The 15,154-nt window shown below is 39.5% G+C and overlaps 1 protein-coding gene across 3 annotated transcripts in view; it reads right to left on the reverse strand.

Moving 5' to 3' along the window:
- The window catches only part of SSR1 (signal sequence receptor subunit 1), a 32,057-nt gene that overhangs the window by 14,386 nt on the left and 2,517 nt on the right, over window positions 1-15,154 (reverse strand). The window contains exons 2-6 of one of the 3 annotated variants that reach the window (NM_001292008.2): window positions 14,389-14,501; window positions 8,022-8,109; window positions 5,782-5,840; window positions 3,219-3,295; window positions 2,395-2,473 (exon numbers count right to left, since the gene is read on the reverse strand). In NM_001292008.2, the coding sequence (NP_001278937.1) occupies window positions 2,395-2,473; window positions 3,219-3,295; window positions 5,782-5,840; window positions 8,022-8,109; window positions 14,389-14,501 (416 nt within the window). Of the gene's footprint in view, window positions 1-2,394; window positions 2,474-3,218; window positions 3,296-5,781; window positions 6,045-8,021; window positions 8,110-14,388; window positions 14,502-15,154 lie in introns of all 3 variants that reach the window. The other 2 variants (NM_003144.5, NR_120448.2) reach the window with 2 other exon arrangements.

A 15,154-nucleotide genomic window follows, 5' to 3' on the forward strand; every position in this document is an offset into this window, starting at 1 on the left:
CATTTACTTAATATTTTTTAAAAAAGAGTTGAGGTCTTGCTATGTTGCCCAGGCTGCCTGGAACTCCTGGGCTCAAGCAATCCTCCTGCCTGAGCCTCCCAAGTAGCTGGGACTATAGGCACATACTATCATGACCAGCTGTTTACTCTAATTTTTAAAACACCTATCAAATTACTTAATTTAAATATCTTGGTAAACAAGTTATATTCTCTTCTAGTCTTCCTAGAACATACTTCTACTCAAATACTTTATTAAAGGGAAGGAGAAAATCATGTCTAGTACTGATGATAAAGAATAAATCTTCATCACATTTATTTTCAGGCTTTAAAGACCTTTCCCCTTGCTATAAAGGTTCATGTTATGTACCACTGGTGGACCACATAAGAGTATCTATTTATACAATGACTTTATTTCCCTTTAGGAATCAAATTGTAATCAAAGAATAAATTTATTTCTATATTCAACAAAATTCAGGATAACTGCTGATATGTTACATGCAGGCAGTTTCTGCATCGTAAGCTAAATACAATTAAACAGTTGGCACAGACAAAACAAAACGAAACCATAAAATCTCATTAAGCTAACCACCTCAATTTAAGAACTTCAAACTTTCTCCCTAGAGTATTTACAGCAAAACTGCTAGAAAGTAAAAATGACTCATTTAGCCTTGCTTTAAAAAAAAACCCAAGAAACCAACAAACCTCAGTTTATCTACATAAGAAACAGTATTAATTATATAATCCGTAAGTTAGAACCTAAGTACATGGAGAGATAACTTAAAAATAGTTTCATTTAAATAGAAGAAAAATGGAGATGCAGTTATACCTAATATACAAATTTACAGCAAAAATTCCAACCATTATGACAATGAGGCAAAGCGAGTTTTAGAAATTAACATTTAAACACAAAGTATTTCTCTTTTAAAGAGAAAGAGCTTATTAATAACATTCATTGTTAATTTTAATATAGATTTGACTGCCTGACTAAAGGCTTAATAAATAATCGCCAAAATGATTAGCAACTGTTTAGGGTCTAATGAATTATATTAACATATTTGATAAAATTGTTTATATTTTCCCACTGAGAGAAATAGTATAGGTTTTGTTTTTGTAGGCTGGAGGGAAGGAAAGGAGGAGGGTGAGTGAGGGAAGGAAAGGAGGAGGGTGAGTGAGGGAAGGAAAGGAGGAGGGTGAGTGAGGGAATGGGGAAGAGGAGGGAAATAAGGATGTGGTAGGGAATGAATCCAGAGTGAGAACCATGATCGTGGCAGACCCTAGGTGTTACCATTTTATTACTCTAACCACAAAAACAGAATTTTGACTGAGAGAACAAAATGTATTAGTTCTTTTTCCAATGAAAGGACTTGTTTATTAATTAAGGATTGTTTCTATAATTAAGAGTATTAACGCAGGCTGAGTGTGGTGGCTCATGCCTACAATTCCAACACTTTGGGAAACCAACATGAGAGGACAGCTTGAGCCCAGGAGTTCGAGACCAGCCTGGGCAACATGGCGAAACCCTGTCTCTACAAAACATACAAAAATTAGCTGGGTGTGGTGGCGTGCACCTGTAGTTCGACTACTCAGGAAGCTGAGGTGGGAGGATGACTTGAGCCCCGAAGGCGGAGGTTGCAGTAAGCAAGATTGTGCCACTGCACTCCATCCTGGATGAAAGAGCCAGACTGTCTCAAAAAAAAAAAAAAAAAAAAGAATATTAAAGAAAATATAAAAGCTAGGTTACTTGCAGATAAAATAGCATACCCATTAAAAAGTAAAGTAAACAGAACAATAAAATCTGAGTTTAGGGAATAAAAATTCTAGCATTTAGAGCTACAATACCAATCCAAAGGTAAATATCACTCTGGAGGGCACAAAGGACAATAAATAATTGTATGTGTGTATGAAAGTCTAAATGAGGCCAGGTGCAGTGGCTCACACCTGTAATCCCAACACTTTGGGAGGCCAAGGTGGGCAGATTGCTCGAGTTCAGGAGTTTGAGACCAGCCTGGGCATATGGCAAAACCCTGCCTCTACAAAAAATTTTAAAATTAGCGGGGTGTGGTGGCATACACCTATGGTCCCAGCTAACCGGGAGGCTGAGTTGAGAGGATCACTTGAGCCCAGGAGGTTGAGGCCACAATGAGCTAAGATCACACCACTGCACACTCCAGCCTTGGGTGACAAAGTAAGACTCTGTCTCCAGAAAAAAAAAGAAAGTAAGTTTAAATGAATCAATTTACATATCTAAGGCTTCAGGTTTTATTTTAAAAAGGTACAACAAAGTTCTACGTATACAAACCCACAGTGACAGTATGAGGCCGAAGAACTAGACTGCTTAACTTAGTACTTAACAACTTTTGAAACACGGCTGTAAGAGGTGTTCATCCATAATTACCTTTCTAGATTCTAGGAGTTGATGAAGGCCAACAATAACCAGAAGCCCAAGACCAGCAAGGAACATATACATAAAGATTCTGGTACAAAAGGAGAAAATATGAACTGTCTTTAATTCAGAGGAAATACCACGTCTAATTACAACTATAATTATAACACATAATAGAAGCTTTCCAAATAACTTGTGGCGAAAAGGAATAAAATGCTTTGTATTCAACTTAAATCCAGGTAGTTAAGTTTTATAAATTACCTTTAAGAGCAATTAGTCAATTAAAAAAAACTCTATGATTGAAAATAGAATTACAATTTATGCTCTATTCAAAAGCTTGGTTTATAAAATAATTGCATTAGCTTTCATCTCCCTGGAATATTACATTATTTTGCACAATCCAATTTAAAAATTACCTTAAGTGAATTATATATAAGTTTAGAGTAAAAAAAGATTCATCATTCAGAAAGAACACTTACATTTTTCAAGATAAAATCTTCTAACTTATGTTTTCAATAGTAATTTCAGAGGCACGAGACTTAGTTTAGGCTGGTGAACAGTTTATAAGCATGAGGTAGAAAATTTAGATGAGAGGAAGGACAGAAAGCCAATACTAACTTTTAAAGAGATTCTTCCATCAGTTTCAACTATCTTTCCTAATTTGACTTTTATAGTTATAAGAATCATCTGAAGTATGAATGAATATCGTAAGGATTTCACCAAATCTATACAGTTCATTCCATCGTCAACATCTAAAACAATGCTGAAACAGAGCAAGCTTTCCAGTCTTACTTTACGAGCAAAATCAAGATCTACATACTACAACTTTCACTTACGTTTCTCCATCTAACCCATCCTCTCTTTCAATAACTGTAACTGTTTGATTGAAGACTGCATCTTGGAATACATTGCCCTGTTTAAGAAAATAAAATAATCAGAAAAATCTAAATGCAATAAAGGAAGTAAAACATGTAACATTACTTAAAACAGTTACTCTAACAGATTGAATATAGCCTTCCCATCACTTAGAAGACTCAACAAATTCATATGTAACTGCAATATTCTGTGGCAGGGACTCAACATTGTTATTTTCTCACATGAAATAAAGTCTCTGGGCCAGGTGAGATGGCGTATGCCTGTGGTCCCAGGTACTCGGGGGCTGAGGCAGGAGGACTGCTTGAACCCAGGACTTGTGAGTCCAGCCTAGCAAACATAGCGAGATCCACACCCCTTTAAAAAAAGTCACCGACTTTGCCAAAGTTGTCCCCTGAATTTTCTTCTGGGGTAGGGGTGGTGGTGTGAGGACCCAGAGAGTAAAATAAAAATGAGATAAAACGTGCAGAAAGAAACAAAGCTCACAGCATTCTTACGCCAACAAGCTTTACCTTCTGTTGTTTGCAATCCTTCAAAACAAGGAAGGAAGAGTACAGCGGCAGCTGCAGAAGCAGGTCATTTTAAGAACTAGATCGGAACAAAAGTTAAATTCATGTTCTAAAATGACAGTGGTGCCGGGTGCGGTGGCTCACACCTGTAATCTCAGCACTTTGGCAGGCCAACCGAGGCAGATCACCTGAGATCAGGAGTTCAAGACCAGCCTGGCCAACATGGAGAAACCCCCTCTCTACTAAAAATACAAAATTAGCCGGGTATGGTTGCGCATGCCTGTAATCACAGCTACTCAGGTGGCTGAGGCAGGAGAATCACTTGTGCCCAGAAGGCAGAGGTTGTGATGAGCCGAGATCACTCCAGCCTGAGCAACAAGAGCGAAACTCCCACCTCAAAAAAAAAAAAAAAGACAGTGGGCTGGAAACCAATTTCTTCATAATAAATGGGATGGTCACTTTAGGTATGAAAATATTTTTATGTTGTGGTCTTGAAATAATTTTATCAGTTCACAATTTCAGTTTTCAAATGCATTAGACTCACTGGGGCAATACACAGCTATTCTTCACAAAGGTAGTACATTGTCAAAACTGTCACTTATTGCTAAACTGTAATTATGTAAGTTTTACTTCAAGATCCTTCAATTTGCATTCCTCTATTGATAATTTCAGGAATAATACACAGATTAAAAAAAAAGTGGTACAGGTGAATTTAAAAGAAGGAACTAAAACTTCATATATACCTGTTGGATTAAATTTTATTCTACTCAAAAACAAGCTAAAATCAGTAATTCTTTAAGCTACTTAACTATAGAGTTAAGTAATAACTGTAAGTTATTATTTTGAGGACAGGATGAAAATACTTCCTTTTCTCTACTAAGTAATCAGAAAAAAGAAAACTTGATTGCAGCACTAGAAATTTAACTCAGACACAAGGTAAACATGTTAACACCAGGGTAATGAAAAGGTTGAATTAGCTTCCAAGAGAAAATAAAATTTCCTCGTCTGAAAACTTTTTGACAGAGGAATGGTTTAGATGTGCTCTCATTTAGAGGACCTATTTCTACTAGGGTTCTCTCATTCAGTCATTGATGACTGATATATAGTATACATTATTAAAAATCATAAGGCATCAGAGCTTATATTAGGACATTTGGTTCTCCTAAATCAAAAAGTAAATGATAAACCTTGCTGCTGAAACTACATTGAAAATATATGGTTCTATTTTATCTATGAGTACATAAAATGATGGGAAAACAATTATAGACAGTCTTTAAATTTACAAACAGAAGTAGTAAAATGGGCAAAATGCAAGCAACAAAAGGAGGTACAAAACAAATTATTTGACAGATCTTTTATTCTTTTTTTGAGATGGAGTCTCACTCTGTGGCCCAGGCTGGAGTACAATGGTGCGATCTCAGCTCACTGCAACCTCCGCCTCCCAGGTTCAAGTGATTCTCCTGCCTCAGCCTCCCGAGTAGCTGGGATTACAGGCGACTGCCACCATGCCCAGCTAATTTTTGTATTTTTAGTAGAGACAGGGTTTCACCAGGTTGGCCAGGCTGGTCTCGAACTCCCGACCTCAGGTGATCCACCCACCTCAGCTTCCCAAAGTGCTGAGATTACAGGTGTGAGCCACTGTACCCAGCAACAGATCTTAACATCTGAATAAGCTGTAGACTCCATTGTGTGTCTTACTGCTCCTTTTCCCATTAAGATCCGGCTCATAGCTTTACTTACATCTCCATTTTCACTTCCACTCCCACACAATAGCACCTTATTCCCCTTATCTCTAGTATGCATCACTTATCAGCATGTTCTAGTGCCTGTTTTCATATGCCTCCCCCACTGGATTAGACTTGAAGAAGAAACGTGCAATTTATCTTTGCTTCCCTGGTGGCTATCACAGGTTCAACCACAAAACAGGCAACTGAATGAACAGATATATTCTATTAAACAACGTCACCGCCCCCATCCATCTCTAACTTAAACAAAAAGAAGGTTTAGAGGATCTTACGTTCAAATCTTTGTAGTTCAGATTGATGACCAAACCAAATGGTCGTCCGCCCATGGGCTCTGCAGGAATGAAAGAGTACTCAAAAGTTGCCTGTCTCTGGGGTGGCACTACAGTGTTCAGAGGAAGAGCTGTGAAATTCTGGATATAAAACTGGTAGTCCTGAGGATAACGGAATGAGGCATCTAAGGATTCAACAATAAAATCTTCTGTACCCTTGTTGGTAAAGCCTACCAGGAACTTCACAATGTTATTTGCTGGAAAATCTGAGAAACAAAATAGAGACAAAAAAATTAGAACACATGGAAAGAGCACAAAATATTTAAAAAGGCATTACTAATGGATTCTGGCACCCTTTCCTGTGGACTTTGGTGTCAGAATCCCTTCCAATAGAGCACTCCAGTCACCTACTAACGAGAAATTGGTTCAAGTTGCTGTATAGGCTGAAACCCTTTTGTCTGTACGCTAGCACTCCCACATAAGCATTCAATAAGCGTCTCAATTTCAGACCAGATCACATCCAAATCATGTGGTAAAAAAGAGTTGCGTATTTTTGGCAGTGAAATAATCAAGCAGCAGGGTTACGTGTGTTGGTGAAGTCACCTTCACCTCCAGCTTAGTGTTATCTGTGCAGGTAAATAGAAGAATGAAGAAAAGATAAAGTCCAAGAGTTTCATCTGAAAACTAGCATCTGTTAGAACGTAAAAATTAATCAGGCAATCCCAATCCACGTTAAGCAATTAATCAAAATGCAAATTTGAAGGTTAAGACCCAAGGATGTAGCTACAAAAATGGAAGAAAAAAAGCATAATAAAATTATACTTCCTACAGGCATAAAGTTCAAAAGCACATGAGAATAAAACAGAAAATGTAAGAAGACCAAGAAAATTCATAACTTTCAATATTAAGTCTTCAATAATTATACAGTAGTCTACAAAGCTGAGTTTCACTGAGTACAGCACAGGCTATGGGGCCAACAGATCTAGGTCTGGATCCTGTGTTCTCCAATCTATTTATGAACTGGGAGCCCTGACCAGTTTCTTCTCCAAACTTCAGTTCGACAATGACTACGCTCAGTGGGTTTGTCAGAACTAAATAATACATGCCAAGTATTGAGAATATAGCCCTCAATAAATTATCAGCCATAATTATTTTCTTTTAATAAAACCTAGGCACTGGCCGGGTGTGGTGGCTCACACCTGTAATCCCAGTACTTCAGGAGGCAGAGGCGGGCGGATCATGAGGTGGAGATTGAGACCATCCTGGCCAACATGGTGAAACCCCATCCCTACTAAAAATACAAAAATTAGCTGGGCGTGATGGAGCGTGCCTGTAGTCTTGGCTACTCAGGAGGCTGAGTCAGGAGAATCACTTGAACCTGGGAGGCAGAGGTTGCAGTGAGCCGAGATCACACCACTGCACTGCAGCCTGGCAACAGAGCAAGACTCCATCTCAAAAAACAAACAAACAAAAAATCCTAGGCTCTAACCTAGACCATATTGGAAAAATTAAGTATCTCATTAATGGTTAACACTCAAAATGTGACAAAGGGCCAGACGCGGTGGCTCATGCCTGTAATTCCAGCACTTTGGAAGACCGAGACGGACAGATCACGAGGTCAGGAGTTCGAGACCAGCCCGACCAACATGGTGAAACCCTGTCTATTAAAAATACAAAAAATTAGCCAGGCGTGGTGGCACGTGCCTGTAATCCCAGCCACTAGGGAGGCTGAGGCAGGAGAATCGCTTGAAACCGGGAGGCCTCGGAGGTTGCAGTGAGCCGAGATCATACCACTGCACTCCAGCCTGGGTGACAGAGCGAGACTACATCTTAAAAAAAAAAAAAAAAAAAAAAAAAAGACAAAGTTACTTTGCTGTGGCAGTTTAAAGAAGTTTTAAAACATCATCTTTCTCAGGAGGCTGAGGCAGGAAAATCGATTAAACCTGGGAGGTGAAGGTTGCAGTGAGTCGAGAGGGGGCCACTGCTCTCCAGCCTGGGTGACAGAGCCAGACCCTGTCTCAAAAACAAAATCTTTGAAAAGGACAGTCAATTTCTAGTTAAACTAGGTAGTATTTATTTTATTTTTTCCCCTTGGTTTATTTTTTATTGTGTCTATATCACCTACGTATTCCCTTTAAATGCCAACAATATTACTTTACAGATATGGGTATTCAGATATATATGAACAAGCTCATCGTTTTAAAATGCCTACATCTGAATTAAAACTAATACTTCTGTATTACCTTCTCCTTTTACAAACAGTATAGTTGTATCTGCACTCGGTGAAGCTTCAGGTTCACCAGACACATCTTCTTCCTCTTTATCTTCTACCTAAGAAAAAGAACAATTAAGAGGAGATTACTATGGGAGAAAAAAAAATCATTATTTAAAAATAAAGATTTGGCCGGGCACGGTGGCTCACACTTATAATCTCAGCACTTGGCCGAGGCAGGCAGATCACCTGAAGTCAGGAGCTCGAGACCAGCCTGGCCAACATGGCGAAACCCCGTTCTCTACTAAAAATACAAAAATTAGCCAGGTGTGGTGGCACATGCCTGTAATCCCAGCTACTCGGAAGGCTAAGGCAGGAGAATCGCTTGAATCCGGGAGGTAGAGGTTGTATGAGCTGAGAATGCCCCAATGCAAGACTCCGACTCAAAAAAAAGAAATAAAGACTTCACTTTATGTTAGGAAGAAATATTGCTTCTCTACAGCTTTGCTGGGATTAGCAATAAGAATTTCATCATACCTCATTAATTAAAACAGAACTTTTGGAGCAGTGCCTCTTGAACAGTAATGTGCCTACCAATTCTTTGGGGATGTTGCAGATCTAATTCAGGTCTAGGGCAAAGCCTATCATTCTCTTTCTAACAAGCACCCAGAAAATGCCAAAGCTGCTGGTATTCAGACCATATTGTGAACTCCAAGGTTCTAGAACAGAGCTTGGTAAACTTTTTCTGTAAATGGCCAAATAGCAGATATGGCCTTGCAGACCATAAAGCCTCTCTTGCAACTATTCAACTCAACTCTGGGGCTACTGTGTGAAAGCAGCCTCAGACAATACGTAAATGAATGGGGATCGCTAGATGTGGCTTGCAACCACATTATGCCCACCTCTGCTCTCAAGTACCTTGTTAACAGCCTACAGAGATTTCCATTCTAATTAACAAAATTTTCCTGTGAGGATCAGTCACATAATTTTGAAGGAAAAAAAAAAGAGTGTGACCAGAGATCTTCCTGGGTTGATAGAAACGTCCTAAAACTGAATTTATGTTGCAGAACTTGGTAAATTTACTAAGTGTATGTTTAAAACAGATGAATTTTATGATACATAAACTGTATCTCAACAAATTTTTTTAAAATGTGAACAAATTTTATTTAAAACTTTAAACACAGTGCAGCATCATTTCTCCAGGCATCAATATGGATTAGAGACAGTCACACCTTTGAAGTATCCAGACTCTTAATAAATTGAGATGCTTCAGGATGCCATTGTTTATTGGCATTTAACTTTTCACTTACATAAAATACTCCTTCCTCCAATAGATAAAACTTGTCAAGAGCAAAGATTATCTCATAATTTTAAAATCCTCCACCATCCAGCTCATGCACTTAAGAGAGAGTGCACTCAAACACACTTGTTCAATGACTGTGAAACTGTGTTGTAAGTTATATTTTAAGTATCCTTAATGATTTCATTCATTTAGTAAGAGTAAGTTTCTATTCTGAGAAAAGAGACCCATAAGTAGGAAAAGAGAACAGAGACAGAGAGGCTGAAACCATAAATGACAGGGATAGACAGGAACAGGGTATATTTCAGCAAGAGAAATCCCTGATATCTGATTAATGGGTTTTGGAATAAAAACAAACGGAAGAAGTAACAAGACAACAGCTTGAATCACTGGAGCCATATCAAAACAATAAAGAGTTTATGGAGTAGGACACATGGCAAAAGATTTGGACATATAAAATGTGAAGTACTTATGGAGCATTCAGATGAAACTATCCTGTGAAGAGCTGGAAAAGAGCTACAACAGGATAACAACGGAAAACAAGGAATTAGGCAATTAGGTTGCTGGTGACCTTAGCAATACTAGTTTTACTAGATATATGGGACCAGACCATGATAGAGAATAAATGTGAAGTGAGCAGAAGAGAAAAGCTGTCCCTGTTTCTCTTTCAAGAAGCCACCGGTCTTGGTAAAGATAAGTAGGTGCAGCAAATGTGGATGAACAGTATAAGCAGATGTGTGGCTTAACAGAATCAAATCACTGAGGAGGATTAATGCCTGACGTTACAAAAGGAAAGAATAATGTAACAAAATTCCGCAGGAAGAGATGAACACAGGTGGAAGGGTTAGCCTTAGAAGAGAACAAGGACAACTCATTATTAAGAAGAAAATGCAGAACGATGGGTGAATAATATATTTGGAAGTAGAAAATACAAAATCTGATAGAGTTCATGCTTGATGGCCTTCTTCACTTTCTGACACTGAAGGCAATGTTGCTGCCAAGACTGAAAACTCATTTAGGGATTTAAACATGGCAAATGTTTGGAACACTGATTGTGGAAAACTAAGTAACTCATTTATCTTACAGCTATTCAGCATGTAAGATGTATAACGCTTAGTATCTGCTACCCGGTAAAACTCCAGAATATTTCAGCTATTGCAAACAATCTCCAGAGGAGAGTATAGAAACTGGTGGTACTGCTTGCCTACAGGGAGATGACTTCATGGCTGGAAGGCACACAAGGGAAACTTTTCATCATATATTCTGTACCTTGTAAGTTCTGAGCCATTTGAATATATCATCTATTTTAAATAACTATTTTTTTTTTGAGACGGAGTCTCGCTCTGTTGCCCAGGCTGGAGTGTAGTGGAGTATAGTGCCCAGGCACGATCTCAGCTCACTGTAAGCTCTGCCTCCCAGGTTCACGCCATTCTCCTGCCTCAGCCTCCCAAGCAGCTGGGACTACAGGTGCCCACCACCACACCCGGCAGATTTTTTTGTATTTTTAGTAGAGACAGGGTTTCACCATGTTAGCCAGGATGGTCTTGATCTCCTGACCTCGTGATCCACCCGCCTCAGCCTCCCAAAGTGCTGGGAGTACAGGCGTGAGCCACTGCACCTGGCTAAATAATTTTTTTTAAGTTAGTTAGTGTTATTACTACTACAGCTCTTGTTTTAATAAAAATTAAAACAAAAACCTCTCTCATTTCTATGGGGAGGACAAAAAAACCTTTCAGGAATGATGGCAAGTTCCATTGCGACCCAGTTTTATAGAGTAAAAGAATAATCAATGGGTTAGAAAAGCCCAAGGTGACTAGGCCAGGTGCAGTGGCTCATGCCTGTAATCCCAGCACTTCGGGAGGCCGAGGCGGGCGGATCACGAGGTCAGGAGATCGAGACCATCCTGGCTAACATGGTGAAACCCCGTCTCTACTAAAAATACAAAAAATTAGCCGGGTGTGGTGGCGGGCGCCTATAATCCCAGCTACTCGGGAGACTGAGGCAGGAGACTGGCGTGAACCCGGGAGGTGGAGCTTGCAGTGAGCGGAGATCCACGCCACTGCACTCCAGCCTGGGCGACAGAGCGAGACTCTGTCTGGGTGGTGGGGGGGTGGGGGAAAGCCCAAGGTGACTTAAAAAAAAAAAAAAGGTTTGTCCTCAAAAATTCTAAACCAATAACCTGTGTCTAAACCAGCTGTTGATATCTTAGATCTTATGAAAAACCCCCTTTTCCTTCACTTGACTCCAGGACACTGGCCCAGTGGCAAAGGATCCTTCCATATCTCCCAATCCCTTGATGCCTTGGCAGCTGAGTATAGGGTGATAAATCTTGGGAACAGCAGCAGTAGGTGAACTTTCTAGCTCATTCAGTTCTGGAGGTGACTTCTGTAGCAGCCTTGCCTTTGAGGGCCCATCTTTCTTAGACAGTCTACACACAAGCCTACCCCTGCTGGTGTGGTCTAGTACAATGGAAGGTAATACTTTTCCTGCCTTTCTATTTCAATCTACCTTAATTATTTTCTGATTTGAGATAAGTAACAAAGCAGAGGGTACTAACACTTCTGTACTAATTGGCCAGGGTAGAAAGTGGATAATCAGAGTTGTTCTTTTTCCTCTAATGGTTCTCAAGACAGGAGAAATTAAGATATGGAAAAGTTCTGGTCAACGACACAAGGCTATCAAGGATCTAACAGTTCCCTTCTCTACTCCCTACCCTCTACTTATTTATTTAATTTTTTTTAGAGACAGGGTCTGACTCTATCACCCAGGCTGGAGTGCAGTGACACACTCATAGCTCACTGTAACACTGAACTTCTGGGCTCAAGTGATCCTCCTGCCTCAACAGTTAGGATTACAGGCGCAAGCCACCAGACTCAGCTAATTTTTTTAGTAGAGATGGTGTCACACTATTTTGGCCAGGCGGTCTCAAACTCCTGGACTCAAGTGATCCTCCTGTCCTGGCCTCCCAAAGTGCTGGGATTACAGGCGTGCCTCATGGCGTTCAGCATCTCTCTTCTACCCTCTTCCTCCACAATAAGTACATTCTAGTGCCAGAGAGCACAAGTAATTTCATATAATTGGTAACAACGATATAATTCATCAATAAATTTCAGTACATGCCCAAATTTCAGTGCCCCAAATACCATCTTTAATCCTAAATTCCTAGATGGATTCCCTTCCAACCATCACTCTAAGTTATCTTACCACAACTAGTCAAATATTTATTAACAACAATGCAGCAGAAATGTATTAATCTAGTTAAAGCTATTCACTTAATGCAGGCTGGGTTGAAGACGTGGAGTCTTAACATAAACCCTAAAGGTATGTGTATACATACATATGAAAGGCTTGACTCACAGATAATCAGTAAGGAGTTCCTAAAGAGGGGGAAATTAGGAGAGTTCACAAATTACTAGGGACATCCTATCCAGATAAAACAGTAGGTGCAGAAGCATAAAAATGATAACTCAAAAACACCAATAAAATAGCAACAGATTTGCTTAGTTGGAAGACATATTCCATAAAAATGAAAGTAAGTCAAAAAAGAAGCAGAAATCTATATATAAGAATAAATATTTTGATACTGAAATAAGAAAATAGGGAACTAGTGGTTTAATTTTGAAGGAAATGACAAAATCTGGAATCATGAGAGGTTCCAGGTTCAAGTATGACACGAAAATAGAAAGAAAAAAAGCTGTGTAGGATGGATTATAGTCGTTCCAGAGAGGAAATAAAATTAACTAGATGCATGCTGCAATGATCCCAATTCCAGCCCAATATTCTTACTGTTGTATTACATAGTAAACATTTCAGAGCTGAACAACTTTTAAGAGATCTTCTCTAACCCCCTTATTCTTCACCAGATATATTTTACATACTGTTTGTTGTCTGCTTCTCACCCCCTGCCATTAAAACACATATAACTGCCCCAAAAAAAAGTCTGAAAGAGCAGAGAAAATATCTGGTTTGCCCACCCAGCACCAAGAACAGTGCCTGGCACATAAGGATTCAGAAATACAACAAGCAAGCAAAAAGAATAAAAACAGAGTAAAAGCAAGCAAGCGAAAAAGAAACTGAGACCCACAGAGATAAGTCAGAAAAGGAAGCAGCAGGTATTCCAAATCTATGAAACCATGAGGTCCAGTGCTATTTCTACTATGTTGTTACCCTTCTAGACTCATGTCACCACGATCCTGAATTGTTAACTATTTCATGTCTCCTTCCCTGTTCCAGAAAATACTTATGCTCTGTTCTCAATGACTGGTGCCTATTCTCCCAACTTCAATTCACTTTGATCACATTAACAAACCTCTAAAAGTTGGGATTTTAAATTTTTGTATAAGGATAAGCTCTAGGCCAGGTGTGGTGGCTCATGCCCATAATCCCAGTGCCTTCAGAGTCCGAGGCATGAGGATCATCACTTGAGCCCAGAAGTTTTAGACTAGCCTGGGCAACATAGCAAGACCCTGTCTCTACAAAAAAAAATTACAAAAATTAGCCGGGCTTGTTGGGGCATGACGGTAGTCCTAGCTACTCAGGAGGCTGAGGCAAGAGGATCACTTGAGCCCAGGAGTTCGAGGCTGCAGTGAGCTATGCTCGTGCCACTGCACTCCAGCCTGGGGAACAGAGCAAGTCTCTGTCTCTAAAAATAAATAAGTAAGGATAAATTCTAGATGTACTATTGATAACGGTTTTGCTGTGTCCCCAACCAAATCTCATCTTGAAGTGTAGTTCCCATAATCTGCACATCGTGGGAGGAACCTGGTGGGAGGTAAATGAATCACGGGGACGGTTACCTCCATGCTGTTCTCGTGAAAGTGAGTTCTCACAAGATCTGATGGTTTTTATAAGGGGCTTTCCCCACCCTTTGCTCTGCACTTCTCCTTGCTGTCACCTTGTGAAGAAGGACATGTTTGCTTCAATTTCTGCCATGATGGTAAGTTTCCTGAGGCCTCCCCAGTCATGCTGAACTGTGGGTCAATGAAACCTTTTTCCTTTATAAATTACCCAGTCTTGGGTATGTCTTTATTAGCAGCATGAGAACAGATGAATACAATTACATACATTTTACATATATTAAATAGTATGTAACACTAACCAAATCTGTGGGTTCATCTTCTTCTACCTCGGCTTCATCATCTTCATCCTCAATTATGGAATCTTCTACTGTTTCTTCATCCTCTGTAAGATCTTGTGCCACTGCTAACAAGCCTAATGATAAAATACAGAAAAAGCAGTTACCCTTTACTCTGAAATACTAATTTCTTTTTTTAACATCAGGTATAGGCAAAAAAAACTTCCCTTGGACTAACAGAATCTCCCAGTTCACCTGAATGATGCCAATTACAATGCACCGAAGAATATTTATATTTTAGTTTACTAGTAGTCTTAACAACTGCATATCAATTTTTTTTTTTTTTTTTTAAGAGTCAGGGTCTTGCTCTGATGCCTAGGTTGGGAGTACAGTTGTGCAGTCATAGCTCACTGCAGCCTCAAACTCCTGGGCCCAAGTGATCCTTCCACCTCAGCTTCCTGGGTAGCTAGGACTAGAGGCGTGAACCACTGTTCCCTGCCTTCCATGTTATTTTTAATGGGAAATGTGGTTTAACTTCAAAAAGTGCCCAACAGATGGAAAAATGAATGGCACAAACTAAAGATGCCTTGAAGCACAAAGAACTTCAAGCAACTTTGTTAAGCAAATTAAGGAAAATAATTTTTTGCAAAGATAAGAAACTTCTAAATGTAATCCCTGTCATTAACCATACAAAGCAAACTAAACAACCCCCACGTTTAAAAGAAAACAGCATTCTTGGCCGGCGCGGTGGCTCACGCCTGTAATCCCAGCACTTTAGAAGGCTGAGGAG

Source organism: Homo sapiens, chromosome 6, assembly GCF_000001405.40.
Source record: "Homo sapiens chromosome 6, GRCh38.p14 Primary Assembly".
Lineage (NCBI taxonomy): Eukaryota > Metazoa > Chordata > Mammalia > Primates > Hominidae > Homo > Homo sapiens.